The sequence below is a fragment of the Homo sapiens genome, chromosome 6 (genome assembly GCF_000001405.40).
Source record: "Homo sapiens chromosome 6, GRCh38.p14 Primary Assembly".
Taxonomy (NCBI): Eukaryota; Metazoa; Chordata; class Mammalia; order Primates; family Hominidae; genus Homo; species Homo sapiens.
The window spans coordinates 83040396-83062276 of record NC_000006.12 but is presented as its reverse complement, the minus strand read 5'-3'; the positions used below and the strand labels follow the sequence as shown (position 1 = coordinate 83062276).

Genomic DNA, 21881 nt, shown 5'->3' with positions numbered 1-21881 from the left:
GATAAACTTTGGCCATTCATTTATTCAATCCACAGATGTTTATTGTGTTCTTACTCTAGTGCCAAAAATTCAAATTCTAAGTGCTGAGAATACAGCCATGAACAGTAACAACAGCAAAGACAAAAACACCTGCCTTTGTTGAGCATAGGGTTTAATGGTGGCAGTAGAGAAGAGGCGGCAGAGAATATACAAAATAAATATATATTTGATAGAAGTGGAGAAAAAAATTAAACAAAAAAGGAATGGGGAGAAAAAAGTTACAATCTTTTATTTCAAATGAGAAACTAACATTTGAGTATTAAACTGTAACTGGTGAGGTGTAGAACTGCCATACCTGGTGGGAGACAATTTCCCTTTGAGAGAAAGTGAGTATGAAAGGGTGCCTAGTTCAGAGAGATGCGGGTGAGTTGGGGGAACACATAGTAAAAGATCTTATGGCAGTGTGCTGGTACATGTTTAATAACCTACTCTCCATGAAAATAAACAAAAAGACAAACTAAGGTCTTGATTTGAAGCATTTGTTGATTTCTTTGGTGTGAATACTTTCACCACGTATGACCTTCAGCCTACCAACTGGGTGAGGTGAGTTGACCTGCTTTGCAGAACTCCTAGAATTTTAACAACAGGTTCTCCAAAGCTTGTAGCAGCAGGGCCTGCTATACCACTGTGCCTTATGGACCATCGAAAGGACTTTAGCTTGTAGTTAGAGTGAGAGATGAAGTCATTGGATAGTTTTAAGCAGTTGTGATACCTGACAGAATACAAGTCAATGGTGAAGAAAGCCTCAAGTATGAAATTATTGTATGAACTATGTCAATCAAACTTAGTCTTAAAGTAGGAATTCTCCTAAAGAACCATCATCCAACACTCACAATTGGGAAATGTGTTGCTACCATCTTACATCATTCATGTTTTACCAGTTGTCTACATAATATCCCTAATAACAGAAGAATCCAGTTCAGAATAAGGCATTGCATTTCACTGTCATGCTTCCTCTGTCTGTTTCAATCTAGAAGAGTTCCTCATTTTCCATTGACTTTCATGGTCCTGACACTTTGCAAGATGATAGTACAATCATTTTGTAGAATATCCTTCCATTTGGATTTGTCTTATGTTTCTTCAAGACAAGATTCAGATTTTGCATCTTTGGCAGGAATATAACAGAAGTGAGGCTTCCTGTCAGGTGGCACATGATTTTGCTTTGTTCCATCAAATTGGTTATGTTAACTTTGAGCACTTAAAGTAAGATAGTGTCTGCCATGCTTCTCTACCTTAAAGTTACTCTTTTTCTCTTCATAATCAGTAATTGGAGAGGTATTCTGAGATTATGTAAATACCCTGTTCCTCATCAGAGTTTCATTTTATTCATTTGTGTGTCAGTAAGGATACATGATTCTTACTGTGGGTTACTCAGTGGGTTTTATTTTTTATTTTATTCAATGGGCTACTTTTTTGTTCATATTATACCAGATGTGGCCAAGGAAGTCCTTTCTGGATGGTTTCTGCGTCTTTTTTGGTAGGTACCTGTCATTCTTTGATTTCTTCATGTTCCAGCAACATGTTCCAGGCATATTTCATTCTTTCCCTGTTACAGCCCTGGATGTAGTCATTTTACTGAGGAACTTTGTTTCTGGTTTGTTCATTTCGTTTTTTAAAGCAGAAAATGGCCTTTACAAACCAAGATCTGGGCACTAAGTGTACTCATCACTGTTGGATGTCGCTTCTCCCAGAACTAGGGTATGTGTGTATGACTTATATATGATGTCTATGTATGGTTGTGCCTACATACCTATGTACATACATGCATTTACAACCATCAATATTACTGTATCTATTTGTAAACATTGAAAACCATGACTTCACACAGGTATTTCTAATTCTGCCCCACCACCATAGGGTCTATTCTAGTTTCCTCGCTTTCTCTTTTTGTAACTCCATTCTCCCACAGTGAGAATCATGGCCCTCATTGTCCTAGTGGCATTTATTTATTTTGTCAGTCTCCCTCTATGTAATTAATAGTCTGCTGGCATCCTTTGCCACCTCCCCCTGCTCATTGTTGACACTCTCCTCACCTGCTTGGACCCTGTTATGGACTGAATGTTTGTGTCCCCTCAAAATGTACATGTTGAAGCCCTAACCCCCAAAGTGATGGTGTTAGGAGATGGGGCTTTGGGAGGTAGTTAGATTTAGATGAGTTCTTGAGGGCGGGGCCCCCCTGATGAGATTAGTGTCCTTATATGAAGAGGAAGAGGCACTGAACTTCCTTACTCTGCCATGTCTGTTGTTTAAGCCACCCATCTATAGTATTTTGTTATAGCAGCTGAGCTAAGACAGGCTCTGAAACCCCATCCTGAGCTGGCCTCACCTCCTGTTCAGATTTCCTCCTCACCTGTCTTGGGATTTGACACCCCTGCTGAGTGGTCCTCCTGGTGGATGCCCTCCACAGCCTGCTTGGTTTCTCATATCCATGCTGGGCCACTGTGTCACCACCCTTGCACTGATGCCTCCCTTGCTTGGCCCTATGGATGCCCTCCACAGTCTGCTTAGTTTCTCAAATCCGTGCTGGGCCACTGTGTCACCACCCTTGCAATGATGCTTCTCTTGCTTGGCCCTATAAAATGACTAAAGTTTTTGGGACTGGGAAGAAATGTGATAAACCAGAGATGGGGTGGCAATGGGGACTTAGGAACCCAGTGGTATCTCTTGCGGCACTTGGAAGTGTCAACTCTACACAGTCTAGTTTGAAAGTCATTGAGGTAGCAAATGGACATTGTGTTATCTTTAGAGCAGTGGTCAGAGAACTATGGCCCATTGGCCAAATCCTACCTGCAGCCTGTTTTGGTACAGCCTGTGAGCTAAGAGTTGGATTTTTCTTCTGTATCTTTTTTTCTTTTAGACAGGTTCTTGATCTGTCGCCCAGGCTGACATGCATTGGCGTGATCATGGCTCACTGCAGCCTCCTGGGCTTAAGTGATCCTCCCCATCTCAGCCTCCTGAGTGGCTAGGACTACAGGTGCGTGCCACTATACCCAGCTGATTTTTTATTTTTTATTTTTTTGTAGAGCCAGAGCCTTGCTTTGTTGCCCAGGCTGGTCTCAAACTTCTTGGCTCAAACCATCCTCCCACCTCAGCCTCCCAAAGTGCTAGGATTAGAGGAGTGAGCTACCTCGACCTGCTGATTTTACATTTTTTAAGGGTTGTTTTTTAAAAAATAAAAAGTATAATATGTATTCTACTTTGAGACCATACATGGCTCATAAAGCCTAAAATATTTACTATCTGGTCTTTCACAGAAATAAAGTTGCTGACTCTTGTTTTAGAGGATCATTATTTCTTAAACACCATTTCTTGAAATTGAACTTTTGACTCAGGTTTGAAACTGTCATCCCTGCAAAAAACTCAGATGCTTAATATTCTGTATTGCTAACTAAGTGCAGATCCATATGCTTTGAAAAGGAACTAGCCAGAAAGTAGCTATAAGATTTTCTAAGGCAGATTTCTAAGGCCTAACCAAGATCCACACCTGAGCACATGGTCTACCCTCTGTACTCAGATGACACTCAAGCAAATGGCTTGCTGTCTGCACTTAGTTGACACCATGTGGATGACCTGCTGTCTGCACTTAAGAGGGAGCCATGGTACTTTGTACCTCTGTTGCATTGCTAAGCGTATTGCAGTTTCAGAGGAGGGTCATTTCCATAGATGCCTTTATCCCCTCTATACTTTTGATGCCTGGGGGCTTTTGACAGGGACTGTGTTTTACTCTTTATTGCCTATACTGAGTAATTTGTGTTTGCTCTGAATTGGATTAGTAAGTCCTTTCACACCTGATATTCATACATCACTGTATCGTTTTCTTCATTAATTCTTTTTATTCTTAAAATTGACAGGTTTTTGTCTTGTATCATTGTTTCACTGAATCTTGGTCTCTTTATTAAAATCTTGTATATGAAATAACAGTACTTTGCTCTGATTTACTATAAAACATTATTTTAGTGCTCTTCTCAGAAGGAAGAACCAAAAATCTGTCCCAGGACTTGCATATTATGGTGATGGTGAAGGGCACTCTGATCAGATCTAAATCTAGTGTAGGTTGCTTTCCTTTATGATCTGCTTGCTGCTGTTTTTCTGGGGCAGTGACTTTAGAGCTCCTATTGAAGAGGAAGAAAGAGATCCTTGGCCATTTTTGTTTCTTTCATCATGTGGTTTTCATTGTGAGAAATAATTTGTTTGGGTTTTGTTTTTAATTACCAGAGAACCGAAAGAAGGAGGTATGCCCATGAATATTTCCATAATGCCATCTTCACTCCAGATGAAAACCCCTGAAGGCTGCACAGAAATCCAGCTTCCAGCAGAGGTCAGGCTTGTACCTTCCTCTTGCCGTGGGCTACAGTTTGTTGTTGGAGATGGACTGCACCTGCGACTGCAGACGCAAGCAAAATTAGGCACAAGTGAGTAATATTAGCACTTCTGCTGCTGTATTTACCTTTTTGTTATAAACCAAAGGTGATTTTTCCTTTGATAAGTTGAACTTTTCCCAGGTGAAGGGGTTGAGAAGCTCTAGGGTCTTTGTCAGCTCTGCCAGTTATTGGCTGTATGCAATTGAACATGTTACTTAACCTTTCTGAGGCTTCTTCCCTCCCTCCCTTCCTTCTTTCTTTTCCACCCACAGCAAAATTGAGCAGAAAGTATAGAGATTTCCCATTTACCCACTGCCTTGTTTCTTTAATTGTAAAATTTTCTGGCTCACAGATGGGAAGATTAAATCAGATGGCAGTTGTATAAGACCTGATTGATTTTAAAGCATTACATGGAAATTTATTCATTCAACAAATATTTTGGTTTGTGCTATGTGCTAGGCATCAATCTAGGTTCTGGGGATACAGAGTGAACAAGGTAGGGGAGGTGTCTGCTCTCATGGAGCTTACATTCTAATTGGTGGGAGCAGATAATGAGCAAACAATTTAAATATTAAGAAAAGTGTTATGATAATATAAAACAGAATAATGGGATAGGGAGTGACTAGGGTTGGCTGAAGGATGATCAGTGAAGGCCACTCTGAGGAGGTAATGTTTGACCTGAGTCCTGAATAAGGAAATCCTATCCATGTGGGGACTGTTCCAAATAGAGAAAACAGTACACAAAAGGTCCTACAGTTGAGTTTGATACTTAATTTGATTTTAACTTTTACTATGCCTGTTATATTTACAACATTTTGTAACTGGTATAATGATTCGGTAAGGCAGTGGAAAATTTGCTTTTTCTAAGACCTCAGGGTTATTTATTGTATAAAATTATTGGTTCATTACATCTATTACAATGTACGTAATATATGCTTTGGGGGATTAAAATTATGTCAAAGGGGGAAATAGGCTGTAAAAGACTTATGTGATGTTTATTATCAGAGAAAGATTGTAATTCTTTCAGCTGCACACTGACACTTCGCTGCTGCCTCATCTGTAATAAACCTTTCATCTGCGCTGTGTGGATCCTGGAGATGGGGTCAGGAGGAGTGTTTGGAAGAGCCATTTAGGAGATGTTGAGTATTCCCCTGAGTCTGTGCTCTTGGCTTTTGTGAGGAAAGAGAAGATAGAGAGGGTTTCATTTCTTTTTTACTGGAGAGCAATTTTTGCTCAAGTCCTGGGTTAGTGAATAACTAGTTTGAGTTGGGCAGGGTTAGTTTTAGGAACAAAGGGTAGGGAAAAGAGATGTCATGGCACTTAAATGTTGTAGGATAAATACTAGGAATGACTGTTGGAATAACCATAGCAAGAAGGTTAGGGTCACCGAGCTGGGAAGTAGACTCCCTGATTGCACCTAATAATGGGCAGAGAAAGTGTTGTTTCAGGGAAGAGGCCATGGGAGGCTGGATGTTGTGTTGTCATCACCTTCTCCTTCACAACAGTTACCTCTTTCACAAGAGTAACCACAGCAGGAATTTTGTGTTGGGTTCTGAGATTTGGGAAAGGCAAGCATGAAAGCCACAGTGGAGTGTTTTCTGGGATTGTGATTTTAGAGATGGAGGAATAGAGACCACCAGGGACATAGTATTGGGTTTTTGCCCATCCATATTCTGTATTCTGTAACTGAATATACAAATATCAAAACTGGAATTATTTTTAAAAATTTAAATCTGCAAACATTGTTTAAACTATAGGACAAAATAAATTGACTGCTATGTGCTGATTTGCATATTGTTTGTGTTCACTGGTCTCCTATTTCTTTACACTTTTAATATATTTTGCTCAAATATCTGAAAAGGAAAATTATCAAAGTCCTGTTCCATAGTGCATGAAAGAGTATGCAAAACAGATTCCTCAGCACTTAATTGCCTGAGTGCTTTCCATATAATAGATGGTGTATAAATATTTGTGGAATGAATAAATATGAATAGATATGTACTGGTGTGAACTTGAATCAAACTGTTTTGTAGGAAGTGACTTGAAAGTTTTAGCCTTCAGTTTGTGTTTCAGGGTTTTTTAAAAAGATGACTTTTCAATGCTAAGAACACCCTTTTAAGGACAACTATAGTAAACATCATACTGGTATACTGCTATTTTGAGTGTCAAACTGTGACCCTCGGTGTGGAACTAGCTACAGTAGGATCTATTAGAGCACACGCATTAGATTGATCCCCCGCAGCAACGCTCTCCCAGGATTCCTCTATATCAGAAACTGAATTTTAAACCCGACCCAGTGCATCATGCTGGGTGGCCAGCAGAGGGTAGTGTTTCACTGAAAATTTGTTTGTGGGTCTGGAAAAAATATTTTGGATTCCTAGGTCTCCTTTTAATCTGCTCAAAGTTAAAGAATAATACTGTTTATTGCACCTTAGTGCTATAGGGATTTCTGGCCACCCCTTAAAAACTGTTAAGATTTTTAATTGCCAAGGCGTAAACCTTCTAGCATCAGTTTTTTAAAATCTTAAAATACATACAGAAAAACACAAACCAAATCCACATTGCTTGATTCTGATGGATATGACCTCATTTCTTTAATTAGATTTTTATAGACATATTTTAGTTCATTCTTTTAAATGAAAGTTTCCTTATTTCATAAAAGAAATAATAGAAACTAAGGGAACATGCGGCCTTATGCTGCTCTTTCCCATAGTGTGAGAAATATACATTTTTCCCCACAGCTTTCAACGTTTTACCATAGCTTTCATTAGAAATTGATTTTTGATCTGGGAAAACTGGACTCTTTTTGGAGCCATTTCATTCCCAGGGAGGTGTCCAATAAACATTAGTTTGAGATCTTTGTTTGTTCATATGGTTATATGCTAGACTGGACATAAACCTTATTTAAATAAAATTAAACTCAAAGTTGGCTGGGCACGGTGGCTCACGCCTGTAATCCCAGCACTTTGGGAGGCCGAGGCAAGGGGATTACGAGGTCAGGAATGCAAGACCAGACTGGCCAAGATGGTGAAACCCCGTCTCTACTAAAAATACAAAAATTAGCCAGGCATGGTGATGGGCGCCTGTAATCCCAGCTACGCGGGAGGCTGAGGCAGAGAATTGCTTGAACCCAGGAGGCAGAGATTGCAGTGAGCCCAGGTTGCGCCACTGCACTCCAGCCTGGGTGACAGAACAAGACTCCATCTCAAAAAAAAAAAAAATTAAACTCAAATTTAAGAGCTCTATTTGTTCACACTGATGAAACACTATTGTGAGACACAGCAGAGGGAAGCTGAGAATGTTGGAGATCTGTGTAGTTAGCTTGATGAGAAGGAAATAGTTCTTTTTCACTCATCCTTAATGTTGGTATTTTTAGAATGAGAGAACTAACAAATGCTACATGCGTAATCTAGAGCAGTACCTGTCTCTGGAACACTTAGCAAAATCTGTTGTTTTCAAAAACACTTCACAATATTTGCTTCTGCTTGAGTCATCAGATAGTATTAATTAAATGTGTACTTCTGGGTGGATCATAAACTGTTTATGGATGGTAATTTATCGTGGCTATTGAACTGTTTAAGTATGTTAATATATTTGTTTCAATCTCTAAGATTAGCTATTTCATTGACTTCCTTTAGAACTGATTTCAATGTTTAATCAAAGCTCGCAAACCCAAGAATGTTGCACGTTTTATTGCCAATCCTGCGGTGAAGTCATAATAAAAGACAGGTAAGGAATATATTTAACACTGATTAATTCTGTGCCTGGCAATGGTTATCTCTTTTTCTATCAGAATTTTTCAAGTAATTGCCAATGGAGTAGTATATGGCCTTAAAGTGAGAGCCAGCTTAATGTCACTTTGAACAAAATTAGCCACAAAACTTGCTAGCAATCGCAGAGTGATTAGCTCTTAGGGACATAAAGGGGAGCACTAGGATGCTGGCTTTGAGAGAGGAGTGCTTATCTTGGCCGAAAACCTGTGCTGATCACTGAAGCACCTCCCTCCTGAAAAGAAACATGGGACCTGTCACATTTCATCCAACACGATGCTGAGTGACATTTTCCACATTCAGTGATTTTTTCCACATAACAAGCTTTTGCACAAAAACTTTTTATTTGAACTGTTTTTATCAGTGCCTTTCTAAAATCCATTTCCTATTTCTCCTGCTTATTAAAACAGAGCATACAGAGCACAAATTAACCTTTTGTCAATGATTAGGTTAATTTTGTCATTTATTCTTGCCATGTGCTGTGATTGCCCTGTTGAGATGGGAAGGACTCTTTGTTGGTTTTTTCGTTGTTGTTGTTGTTTTTGGGTTTTTTTACAGTCCCTAAGGCTTTTTAATTTCTTTTTCTTTTGTCCCTCATGTCAGCCTTCTTGTTTCTTGGGCACAAACCCTTCCTCCTAAAATTTCAGCCACGAGTCATTCATCAGCTGGAGAGACAGATTAAATCCTAATTATTGTTAATACTATTTAAAGAATTTAGAGTTCTTTATTAGATGGGTTTCCTGAGCCATGTTCCTAAGACTTATAAGTGAACGGATCCTTCCTGTCTGAAACCTGCTTCTCTTCCAGTGTTCCTTATCTCAGTAATGCTGTACTTCTACCTGTGTCCTCAAGGTAGAAACCTGGTGTTGCCAGAAGTTCCTCCCTCTGGAGGCAGGGGAGTCCAAGCCTTCGGCTGTCTTGGGCTACACATAAAATACACTAACACTAACAATTGCTGATGAGTTTTTAAAAAATTGCCAAAAAAATCTCATGTCTTAAGAAAGTTTACGTATTTGTGTTGGGCCACATTCAAAGCCTTTGGGCCATATGCTCTAACGTGGGTCAGCTTGCTCTAAGGGGTTCCCCCCATATCAGTTGCCAAGTTCTTTTGCTACTTTCTTCATAGCATGTCTTACATAAGTCCACTTTCCTCCATCCCAGTGCCTCTACCTTAGTTGAGGCTACTGTTTGTTCACCTAATTACACTTGTTGCCAACTCCTCATCCATTGAGCCTCCCTGTAGTTTTGTCCTCTCATCTGATCTATTTTAGCACAGCTAAGTAATTGTTCTCAAATGCATCAGGCTCTGCTGGTCAAACCCCTCCATGGCCCCCCATTTCTCCAATATAAATTCCAGAAACATGCTACATTAGGACCTTTATGAGTTTACCTCTATTTACCTCTCCACCCTCACATTTCATATCTCTTTCCCCAACCTATTCCTCCTCCCCCAAAAAAACATGCCATTATTGACTGGCATTCTGTACACAGCTCTGGTGATCAATGTGCAGCCCCACAGCCTTTTCATGATATTTTTTCACCCTGGGGCCTTATGAAAGTGACTTCCTTTCCTGGAGGAATGCACCCCACACTCTGTCTCCCCCTCGTTGGCTCCTACCTGAACTTCAGAATTCAGCTGACGGGACAGGTACTGTTATGAGCCTTCTCTCAACCCTGGGTTGGTTTAGGTGTTCGTCTAAGGTTTATTTGCCTGTCTTCACAATTAAACTGTAGGCTCTCGGAGTGCAGATAATCTTGTTGTCCCCTGTATCCTTTATCCCTACTCTTTTGAGAGTGCAGTACAGGGTAGTCCCTTCTGAGTCTGTCTAGTAGTACAGACTCAGAAGCCAGAGCAGCTAGGTTTGCACCTGCCATTTACTAGCAGTGTGACTCTGGGCAAGTTACTTAACCATTCTGTGCCTCAATTCTTTTATTGCAAAAATGTGGCTAACAGTAGGACCTACCTCATATGGTTGCTAGGAGAATGGAGTGAGTTTAAGTGTTTATGACAGTGCCTGGCACGTGGCAAGCATTCAGTATGTATTAGCTACTGCTATAATTACTGTTCTTATCATCATCATCATCCTCCTCAGCATCAGGCACTGTCCCTCATAAATAGTATGCTCTCAATCAATTTTTGCTGGGTTGAATTGAATAAACGTTGACATGTTTGTTTTGGCCTTCTACCAACCTCTCTTGCTTGCTTCCTGATTTCTGTCAGTGTCCCAGGTAGATGAGATGGCACAGAGTTACTCTGGCATAAGTGAGAGGTTACAAATGGAGGATCCTCAGAGTGACTGTCTTGAGTAAGAAATGAGGTGACTTTAAATTTGCAGAGGAGGGAACCTCATCTTTGCTTGAATTACCTAAGGGTTGAAGTTATTGCATGTACTCGGTGACAGGCCCACTTTATCCTGAAAGGTTCAGGGGATCTCAGTTTACATTGTAGTTGAACCAAGAGTGTTTTCCTTCTCTCAATCTATTTTAGGCGTTGGTTGAATTCTCAGAAGAAGTTTCTGAAACATGCATTCCTAGACAACAATAGGGATTCCTAGAAGTTACAGTTGGAACATGTTAAATCAGTGTAACAGTATTTCCGGGTTCTGCTTACAGTAAAGGATATGCTGGTTCATTATTGGCTGTTATTTGTGTTTCATTGGAACAGGATGATAATATGAAAAATCTTTTATCTGTTGCCCCCATTTTTTCTGTTCAGGAACTGTATCTTCTGTGTCAGTCCCTTTTACAGTCATGGAACTGAGAACTAAAAGGGCAGCACTCACTCTCCCTAACCCTGACCATCGGCAGGCCCTGGAGGCAGGAGCAGGAGAATGGGGACCTGGGTTTGAAATCCAGCTTCTTGACTTAGTAGCTGGGAAGTTGTGTTTGTACTACCTCAGGTTCTTCTAATACAGCCTTCTAATAAGGCCTATTTTCCAAACTTGTCAAGAGAGTTAAAGGATGTAACATATGTAATAGTTAATGCTCGACAAGGTCTTTTAAATTGGTTTTATAGACTTTCTACCCCCTTTTCCAGATTGCTCTTATTAGCAAACTAGCAAATTATCTAGTTTAGTGTTTCAAACCTTTTTGTTTCAAGACTGTGATTCACATACTCTGCAGGTGCCGAGGAAATGAATTCCCTTTCTCTTTTTCTCTCTGAGAAACAGTGGACTTGACTTAGCCTTTGCCTCATTTAAGCAAGGCTTACCCAAAAACCTTTTCATGTCACACCTGTGTGCCTGGCATATGCATGCCTCTTCAGTAATGCAGAGAAATCCTTAGTAAATGACTCAAGGCTTTGCTTACCTGTAACTCTTAGGTAGCATGCCCTGTGACTGAGTTGTATGGAAAAAGACGCTTCCTTAAGTAACTGCACATGGATTTCATGTTGACCATTAATGTCAAACCCAGTGTTCTTCTTATTTCTCCCGCAGTTATCTGTTTTATGTGAGTGGTAAGGACAACTTTGTGCTCATTAAATAGAAAACAAGACCAAAGGTTTTCAAAAGAGCATGTATGTGCCCCAAATCAACTAATTGTAAACATATTTCCCAGGAAGGTACCTTGGAATATGTTGATTTATCTGTATTGGGAGCACCTCTGTAGGAGCAGGGGAACAGAGTTAAGATCTGCTTACTGGCTAGTCTTATTATCTGGGAACATGTTACATTAATTTCCTGGGGTCCAGTTTCCTCATCTGCAAAATGAGGACGTTGGATTAGATAAACCTGTTAGAGTGCTATGAAACATGAAAATTACCTGATCAATGAACCTCATTTGTATTTGGGGTTTCATGTACTTTGTGATTCATGATTATTTGATAGTCTGGGACTAATGCTTATTCTTTTTTTTTTTTTAAATAAAAAAGGTTCTTGTCAAATTAATTATAGAAATAAGATATAGAGGACAGTTTAAACAGTAAGACTCATTAATGGCTTTTAATACTAGCACCAGGACACATGATATCTGCTAATTATAGCAATGTTTTTTCTTAATTTAAGGTCACATGTTCTTAGCTATTTGTTGTGGTTATTTGAAACCAAATAATGCCTCATTTCTTTATAATAAAATTCTCCAATTTACATTTTACCAGATTAGCAGTTTTTCTATAAAATTTGTGTGAATGTATGTAATTTTTTATTATGCTCTTGTTAAGATTAATGGGCCCTAATATCCAGCAATAATAATAAAATTTATTTTGTTGTGAATAGTCTCAGAAACAGCCAAATAGTCCTTGTGTTTGGAATTTATGTATTTTAGAAATAAATTCATCTCATATGTGAATGAAATCAGTTGGCCAAACTTTCAAACTCAAGCCTTTCGATTTTCAGATGATTTGAAACAGAGTGGCTCTCCGGAGGTCTCTGGATGGTTCGCCCTGTTCTCCCTGCACTGGTAAGGTAGTGCTAGGTGTCAGCCTAGATCTCATGAGGGCGTTGAGACCCTAGAGGGAAACCAGCAAGATGGGATCTTGGGAAACATGAGATGTCAGGATATCCAACCACTTGATTGATCCACTTGGCAGACCAGCTACAATTGTAACCTGAAAATAACTACTCCCAAGAATACAGTCACATTTCTACAAAGAGGTTAAAAAAGAGTACAGTCACCAACTGCACTATTGGTAACACTGTACAAACTTTTGGAATAAAATTATACTTTTATGGCTCAAATCATACTATGTACGTAATAATATTAAAGTGCTAAAGCTAGTTTTGTAGGATTTGTGGCCTGCCAGTCAGAGAATGTCACCTGAATTTATCTAATTCCAGCAGCCATATTTTGAGCTTTAGATAGTTGATGTTACTAATATTCTTAATGTCCACTTGATTATAATCCAGTCTGTAGAAGCTGTTATTACCATTGTTATTATCACTGATTAATGGATCATTTTAAAGCTAAGGGGCATAATTTTATTTTCCTTATGTATGTTCCTTTATTTTCACATTCTTCATTTTTCTTTGCCTCTATTAAAGGGGCATGCATTTTCTTGTGTATATGTTTAAGTATTAAACATCAATATCATTTGGATATTTTAAGTTTTCTAAAAGTTTATGCTCATGGTACATTAAAAATAACTAGGAAATTTTAATTTATTGTGAATTTGTGTTGCTGTTCATTATAGAATCTTAGGCTGAGAGAAAATTCAGGAAATCGTTTCACTGTTTTTTTGAGCTCCACCAGGTTTCTACCTAAAAACTAACCTTGAAAAAAATGGTATGTATTTTATTTTGAAAGTTCTCTTGGGAAGTAGATCATATCAAAGTATATTTTTCAGGGTTTTAGATAAATATGCTTTCAGTAAAGCAATGATTAAAATCTTTTGTTCTTAAATGTTTTATGTTTTCTTCAAAACATCAAAAAAATTTTTTCTGCTTTAAAAACTCTTTTATCTTTGCAATGACTTGCAGATTAGGCACTTTCTTGCTCCTGCTGTCTTATGTAGATGGTTCTAGGACATATTATAGCTTTTATTCACATGATATATGGTCACATTAAGTTTAAAATATCATATTTTGTGTTAATGTGAGTTGTCTCCCAGATCTCTGTAAATCTTGGTGCAATTTTATTTCCCTGATCATGTAGGGGGTTTTGACATTGTTGTCTTTTGCACTGTATTGAGGGTTTGTTTATTGGCACTACATGCAGTATGTCAGGAGACAAAAGATCTTAATGATGGAGAAAGTCCAGGAACCTATTTAGGCCTAACTCCCTCCCACTCTAAACAGGCAATTTATTTGCCCTCTTCTTCTGCTGGTTCTTCTTGGTAAAATTCAAATCTGACCTGTTATTCTGTTTAAAATTCTGTAATGCTTCCTACCCACCTGAGGTACCAAGTCCCTACCCCTTAGCGTGGCCTGGAACACCCCACACAGTTTGCCACCATCCTACCTGCCCAAGTCTCCTCCTCTATGGCTGTTCTGCATTGCCAGGGAAGGAATATATTCTAAGGACCTGCCGTTACTGATCACTTCTGATTCTGTGAACTTAATGCAGATTTTTTTTTTTTTTTTTTTTTTTTTTGAGCTGGAGTCTCCCTGTTGCCCAGGCTGGAGTGCAGTGGCGCGATCTCGGCTCACTGCAAGCTCCGCCTCCCGGGTTCAGGCCATTCTCCTGCCTCAGCCTCCGGAGTAGCTGGGACTACAGGTGCCCGCCAGCACTCCCGGCTAATTTTTTGTATTTTTAGTAGAGACGGGGTTTCACCGTGTTAGCCAGGATGGTCTTGATCTCCTGACCTCGTAATCCGCCCGCCTGGGCCTCCCAAAGTGCTGGGATTACAGGCATGAGCCACCGAGCCCGGCTTAATGCAGATTATTGAACATTTCTGAGCCTCACTTTCCTCCTCTGTACAGGAAAATGGTATTTCCTGTCTCTCAAAGTTGTTGCGAGCATTAAATGAAATAAGGTGTGTTTAGTGGCCACCAAGGGTCTTTTTAAGTTAACTAAACATGTGGACTCACAAGGCTACCACAGGCCACATTCCTTGCCAGCTTGCCAGCAGGGCAGCATCAAGAATTCCTCTCAGCAGGGGCTCTGCATGTTTGCACAAATGACAGCTCACATACCTTTCTGGGGACTGTTGTCTCCCCACACGACGTAGTTCCAGGTACAAAGCCTAAGCTCCACATCAGGGAGGTACGGGAGCTGCCCTGGCTCAGAAGAAGCCTCCTGCCTTAAGCAGCCAGTATCTCTTGTAACAATTCTTGATATAGTTTGTAGGGTTCCCAAGAAGAAACTGCATTCAGGGAAGGCCAAAGTGTCCTATCAGACATTTACAGCTCATTCATATTTCTTCCTGGTTCAGATGCAGTTTACCAACCAAGGATCATTTTTACCGTAAGCAGTGTTGCCTAGCAATATTGTGGATGCCTAAGCTCTTACCTGGTTTCCAGGGTAACAGAGCTAGGTGGCTAAACCAAAGATCAGATTCTCAAGCAGCAAGGGAAAAGGTTTTTAACCCCTTAATTCCAGTGTGCAACAGACGCAACCAGGGGCTTCACACATTATAGTTATCAAAATACGCTAGTTCATTTCTTCAACAAATATTTAAGAGCTCATGATATACGTTAGGAGCAATGTAAGACAGTAGAAATACAGTGGCAAGGTAAACATATATGGCATCTACCTTCATATTGTCTCTTCCATGATGCCCTTAATTCCTTTCACTGCCTGGAGAACTACTATTTATCTTTCAAAGGCCAGCTCAGATGTTACCTCTTCTCTGAAGTCTGTGTACAATCTATTCTTGTAGCAGTTTGTGTTTATTGCCTTGAATTCATGGATTGGTCTTGGGGATCCATGAATCCCCTAAAGTAATATGCAGATTTTGTGTGCTTGTAGAAATGTACATTTGAGGAAAGAGGCTAACACTTTTCTTAAATATTCAAAGGGATCTGTACTGCTCCCCCGGTGCCACCGCCCACCCCCCCCGCCAACTGCAAGAATTTAGAACCGTTACTCTGTTACCAGCATTTATAACATGTGCTTTTGTTATTTGTTTGTAGGTCTATATTTCTTACTAGAACATGAGTACCTTAAGAGAGACGGACTGTATGTGTTCATATTTTGTGCCAGTAGAATGCCTTATTCATAGTAGACTTATAGGAAATGTACGTTGAAAGAATCACTTCTCAGTATGCTTAACAGGCTCAGCACTTTGATGATACCAATGGTGCAGCATATACTAATTTCAAAGGAAAAGTTCTTCCTTATGTTAAACTAAAATCAGCCTTTCTTGTTTCTAGCTTTGTCCTCTGCAGTTATAAATTGTGTACCCTCTTCTGAACTGTAATTGCCCTTTTATGCAACTCAGTTGATTGGGGAAATCAAAGGAAAATGGTTAACATGGGGGAATTGTTAAAAAAAAAAAGTAGCATTCACATTTTAAATGTTTTAACTTATAACATCTGAATGTACATTAATTTACTAGTATTTGTGTTTTGTTAGAAGGAGGAACTTAGCATATATCACCTTAACGAAGTTATCAAGATTAGCATCACTAAGTTGTGTTGATATGATATATTCTCTGATTTGATGTGATGAGAAAGGTACATTTCACTTCTGTGAGATTCTTTCCCCAAATCCATACCACCAGCCTAATCTTGAGACAATATTAGACTAACTCAGATTGAAGAATATTCTGTAAAATACCTGATCTTTGCAAAAATCTCAAGTGTCTGAAAAATAAGGAAATATTGAGAAACTGTTATAGACCAGACGAGACTAGGGAGACATGATGACTAAATGCAAAGTATTATCATAAATTAGATCTTGGAACAGAAAAAAAGGATATTAGTGGAAAAACAGGTGGAATTCAAAGTGTGTAGTTTTGACAAATCTACCATGGTACCATAAAATAGTAAGTTTAGGTCCATCTGGGTGAAGTGTATATGGGAACTAATACACTACCTTTGTAAGTTTTCTGTAAATCTAAAGTTATTCCAAAATGAAAAGTTTACTAAAATATAGTAATAGAAGAAATTATAGAAGAAAGTTGTTAGGTGATCTGACCATTAAGACACGTAAACCAAAATAAAAGGCAGTAACACCAAAAAAATTTGTAACAGATTAATAAGCATGAGGCTAATACTCTTAATATAGAACACATTTTTACAAATTAATAAGAACATAATAATACCACCCTGGAAAATAGTCACTAATCACAATTCACAGAAGAAACACAGTAGACTATAAGTAGCAAAACTAGATGAATCTCACCAGTAATTTAAGAGTTGCCAGTTAAAGCAGCATTGAAAATACTTTTACCTATTACTAATGCAGAAATGGAAAAATGATAGTATTCATTTATGAAAAGGGTGAGTGGAAGAATTATAGATTGGCACAGCCTTTCTGAAAAGAAATTCACCAAATAGGTGTTGGGTTTTAAAATATGCATATAGTTTGTGCTTATCATCTCACACTTATATAGGATTCTTTCCAAGGAAAATAGATATGTTCATAAATATTCTAACAGGAACATTCATCACAGAGTTATTGATAATGAAAAACTCAAAACCTAAATATCTAACAGTTGAGGGAATCATCTCAAAAGTTTTGATGTACTTATGGAATAGAATATTGTGGACTAATTAGGATTCATCTAAATAAAACAACAAAAGCAAGATATAGTATGTTTATTCACGATTCTCAAACTTCGTGTGATATGTACAGATATATCTTTTGAACGGATGGCAAAGAAATACACTGTCATGTTTAGTTACTTATCTCTGGGTAGTGAGATAAAGGATGATTTTTCCTTGTTTATACCTCCTTGCATTTTCAAAATTAGCTGTAGTGAGTATATATTACTTTTATAATTGGGGAAAAAATTAGCATTGCAAACCTTGTGGTTAATGAGTTTCTTTCATCTTTTATGGTCATTTAATTAAGAAAATGTTAGTATCATTTTGTTCTGTGAAAAATGATTTTTCCTCTTTCCACTAGGAAGCTCCTCAGGGTGCTCCCACTGCCGAGTGAGAACTGGGGAGCTCTAGTTGGAGAATGGTGTTGTCATCCTGACCCCTTTGCTAATAAATCACTTCATCCGCAAGAGAATGACTGTTTTATTGGAGACTCTTTCTTCTTGGTGAATTTAAGAACCAGTTTGTGGCAGCAAAGACCTGAACTATCCCCAGTGGAGATGTGCTGTGTTTCTTCTGACAACCATTGTAAATTGGTAAAATATCATTTCAAAATAAATGGTAATTTAGAGGCTGTCTTAGATACTGACTTCTTCAATCTTTTCCTAATTAAGGGCTTGTTACATAGACTGCTGTAAAGGCCAAAATTCATTATTTTCAACTGTCATCGCTATCGTTGCTTTATCAAAACAGGAAGAGCATATGGCTTTAAACTAAAACAGCCACAGGCGCCTGGAAGAATAAGGAGAGGAAGACCTCTGCAGGCTTAGAATTGCGAGTGCTACCATTTTACAAACAAAATGTCTTGCTTTCTTGTTCTTAGGACAATATTGCATAATTTGTGTGCATTTTATCCTAAATAGTCTGATTTAGGTTAAAAGTGTTGTCTTGCTCCAGGATATCTACTATACTATTAGGCTGAGGTATTTTACTATTTCTGCCCATAGTCTAGACTTCTGCTGAAGTCATAAATGGAGATGTCATCAAGTAAAAAGAGGAATGGAGGAGCCCAGGAATGGAGATAAAGCTTGTGTTTCAGGGTCTGAGTTGGTGCTTGACAGTGTGAGGTCAGGTGGCTCTTGCTGCATAAGTTGCTTTGGGAAGAAGGCAATTTTCTCTCACTGCAGAGAACAAGTGTTTTACTTTATTTTAAAAGAAAATCAATGGCATTGGCTTGGCCCATGTGAGAAAGCATTCCACTGATGGCCAGTCAATACAGATATTATTTAAAAAGTAAAATCATTCCCAGAGAATCATTTTAACATCTGATTATTGGTGGGAACTAAAACATTGTATTTTAAATTTCATTCAGAACTCATTTAATTTTTGTAATAATAACTGAGCGACTGCAGGAAATATGCAGTAGGTGGGCAGCTCTTAGGTTGTAAATTAGTTTATAGAACTATTCTGAGGGAGATGAAGGAAATTCGTCAAATGTGGAGGTTAAGTTGTTGTCAGATAAAGTTATTTAAGTGCCTCATTTTACACTGTAAACAGAAATCCCTTTATCTAAATATGGTTCACTTTGGTGAAATGTAGTACTTTACATTTTATATTTTAAAAGGTAAATAGTAAGTTAATATATATTTGTTATATTTAATATGATTAATTAAATTTGTATTTTAATCTAAATATATACTAATACTTTATATGTGTTTTAAATTTCATCTTTATGATTAAGCTATACATTTCAAAAACATTTGGAAGTTGTGAGCAGAAAAGTAGTAGAGAAAGATTGAATCAGAGAAACCATGTTTCCCTTTTTAAATAAACTCAGCACTCTGTGCTGAAATATATTCATCACATTTACATCTTTATCAGTTATGTGATGCCATTTACAAGAATTTCTCTTCATAGTAAACAGCTATCTTATCCATTAAAGAAAGACCCATCATATTTTTAGACATTACAGTTTTAGTATCAAGGAGACTGTGGGAAATTCTGTACTATCAAGACAAGATGCTGTTGAAAAGATTTTCTTCAAGTTAGCCTAGATGAAAGTCCCTCTTTAATTGTATATTGTAGCAGTCCAAAGAGTGTGCCTGTGACCAAAATAGAAACATAAATTTGGAGGGACTGCGTAAACAGCGCTCTCAAGGCTCCTGTGGGAACAAGGCTGTTCTGTGCTATTGAAAACCTATTTCTCCTATCACCCAGTCTAGCCATCTAGCAGGGTTTTGAAATGTCACATAGTAACAAAGCATCCTAATGGTATCTCTTGGGAAACATTTTTTTGATGAGACAATATCAAGGGTCCTTAGAAATTGAAACGACACAAAGGGAAAATAAAAGGGAGGACACGAGGCTAATCCACCTCTCTGAGCAGCCCTGTGGTGTCTCAGATATATTGACTTAATTAGTGCACAACAATGTCTGTCTTTGAGGTTTGCTCTGTAGAGTTCCCACACTGTTAGGCTGCTTCATTACACAACTTGCCTTATTATTTCCTTGAAGGATAGGTGAAGAAAAATGCATTACAAAGCAGAGATTCTCTTTAAATGAAATTTATGTGCTATAATATGTTTAATTAAAAAGATCTGCTTTTAAAAACAGCACAAACAAACATGAAGCCCAACACTTTCTTTTCTTCCATAGCCTTTTAGAGTTTATAATACTTTATTGGAGGCTTTGTTATTGCAGCAGTATCTACTTATTTTTAAAAGATACCTGCTGAAGATTTCCCTATTGGTGTATTCATTTATCACCTCTCTTGTGCTATTTTGTGCCTGCCCACATAATACAAATTTTGCATCTTGGGCCGGGCGCAGTGGCTCATGCCTGTAATCCCAGCACTTTGGGAGGTTGAGGCGGGTGGATCATGAGGTCAGGAGATTGAGACCATCCTGGCCAACATGGTGAAACCCTGTCTCTCCTAAACTACAAAAAATTAGCCGGGTGTGGTGGCGGGGGCCTGTAGTCCCAGCTACTCAGGAGGCTGAGGCAGGAGAATCGTTTGAACCTGGGAGGCAGAGGTTGCAGTGAGCCAAGATTGCACCACTGCACTCCAGCCTGGTGACAGAGCGAGACACTGTCTAAAAAAAAAAATTATATAATAGACGATAAGGATGGCATTTCATCCTTTTATAAGAGTCAAAATATTATTCAAGGCTTCACTCTTTTTTAAAGAGCAAATAAAATTGATCTTTGATTACATTAATATTACTGCTAGCAAGGATGACTAACATCTTTACCTTTTTTTCTTTCTTGGAGTACTTAGTAATTATTAGTTGCTTTTGGTAATTTGTTTTGTTAAATCCATAAGTGTGTCTTTTTTGTTTTCTTAGAAAAATGTGTTGTCAAACTCTGTAAGTATTCACAAGTATAAGAAGAATAGTATTGTGAATTTCAATATGGATTCATTAAGTATGCTTCATCTGCTCTTTTTTTCCTGAAATGCTTAAAACAGTCTTGTCATTTTATCCCTACATCTAAAAATAGGAATTTAAAAAATGTAGCCACACCGTTATCACACCTGATAAAATTAACAATTATTCCTTGATGATATACTACCAGGCCATATACAGATTTTATCAATTGTCTTAAAAGAATCTTTTAGCATAGGTTTGTTTGAATCAGGAGCCACACATGTGATTGAGGTAATTTGGTTGTTGTTGAGCTGATTTTTAAATCCTGATTACCCATGTCTGATAAGGATAGAATCTTATTTTAAAAACAAGCAAACAAAAAACACTTCTCCTGCCCCCTTGAAAGACAAAGTGAGATGTTCTGTGATGGCAGTTACAAAGGAAGTACATATCAAAGCACTTGAAAAAAAATTTTCTGCTTCAAATAGAAAAATTCTTTCTTTTCAAGCATTGCTATTACAATACCAATATTAGTTTTTAATAAAGCCCTTAGTTTTTGGTAACATTTAATGAGTGTGATCAGATTTAACTTGTATAAAATAGTACTCTTTAAAAAATATTTTTAATATCAACTTGGAGCCATGCAGGTATGTTTTACTGTAAGAAAGCATTAAACTGCCAGAATGGCACCCTTTGTAGACCATACTGGCTTTCTGAGTTCTCTTCCTCCTGGACCTGAATAAATTGGCACCTTCCTAGGTTTCTGTGTCTGTCTCTTACCTCTCATGGGTATGACACCATCCAGTTTCCCACCTGGGTCAGGCTCTGAGACCTGCCATTTGTGATGTGCCTGATAAGGATGTCAGTGCAATGGCCAGAGATGGCACACTGTGGGGCCCACTTTGGGAGTGTGCCTGGATAAAAGTTTGAGCCAGGACTGAACTGACTTATGAAGTTCATGTGTGCTTTTGTTTCCTCAGCAGAGACTTTTGAGGAAGGCTGCAGAATCTGTCCAAATACTGCAGCTAGACCAGGAAAAAATGGAATAAGTGTTTATGTTACTGAAGGTTAATTCAGTGTATGAAGGGATTCATCTCAGAAGTTTTTAAATAGAAGAGCTGTAGGCATTTACGGATTTTTTTACTAGTTGCATGTGTTTGAGGCTGGGGGAAAGAATAGGCCATAGAGAAAGACCCCAGTATGAATTGTGCTGTTGCTCTTGACTTTGACCCCTGATTGAATATATATATATATAGAGAGAGA

At 38.3% G+C, this 21881-nt stretch overlaps 1 protein-coding gene across 17 annotated transcripts in view; it reads left to right on the top strand.

Moving 5' to 3' along the window:
• UBE3D (ubiquitin protein ligase E3D) overlaps positions 1-21881 on the top strand; it is a 185040-nt gene that overhangs the window by 3565 nt on the left and 159594 nt on the right. For 14 of the 17 annotated variants that reach the window (NR_146809.2, NR_146808.2, NR_146807.2 and 11 more), the window contains 3 exons: positions 4255-4451; positions 8039-8129; positions 17618-17849. Coding sequence is in view for 13 of the 17 variants with exons in the window: in XM_017011458.3 (XP_016866947.1) it covers positions 4255-4451; positions 8039-8129; positions 17618-17849 (520 nt within the window). In the remaining 4 variants the exon portion in view is untranslated. Of the gene's footprint in view, positions 1-4254; positions 4452-8038; positions 8130-12504; positions 12569-17617; positions 17850-21881 lie in introns of those variants that run through there. The other 3 variants (NM_001350604.2, XM_047419505.1, NM_001350603.2) reach the window with 3 other exon arrangements.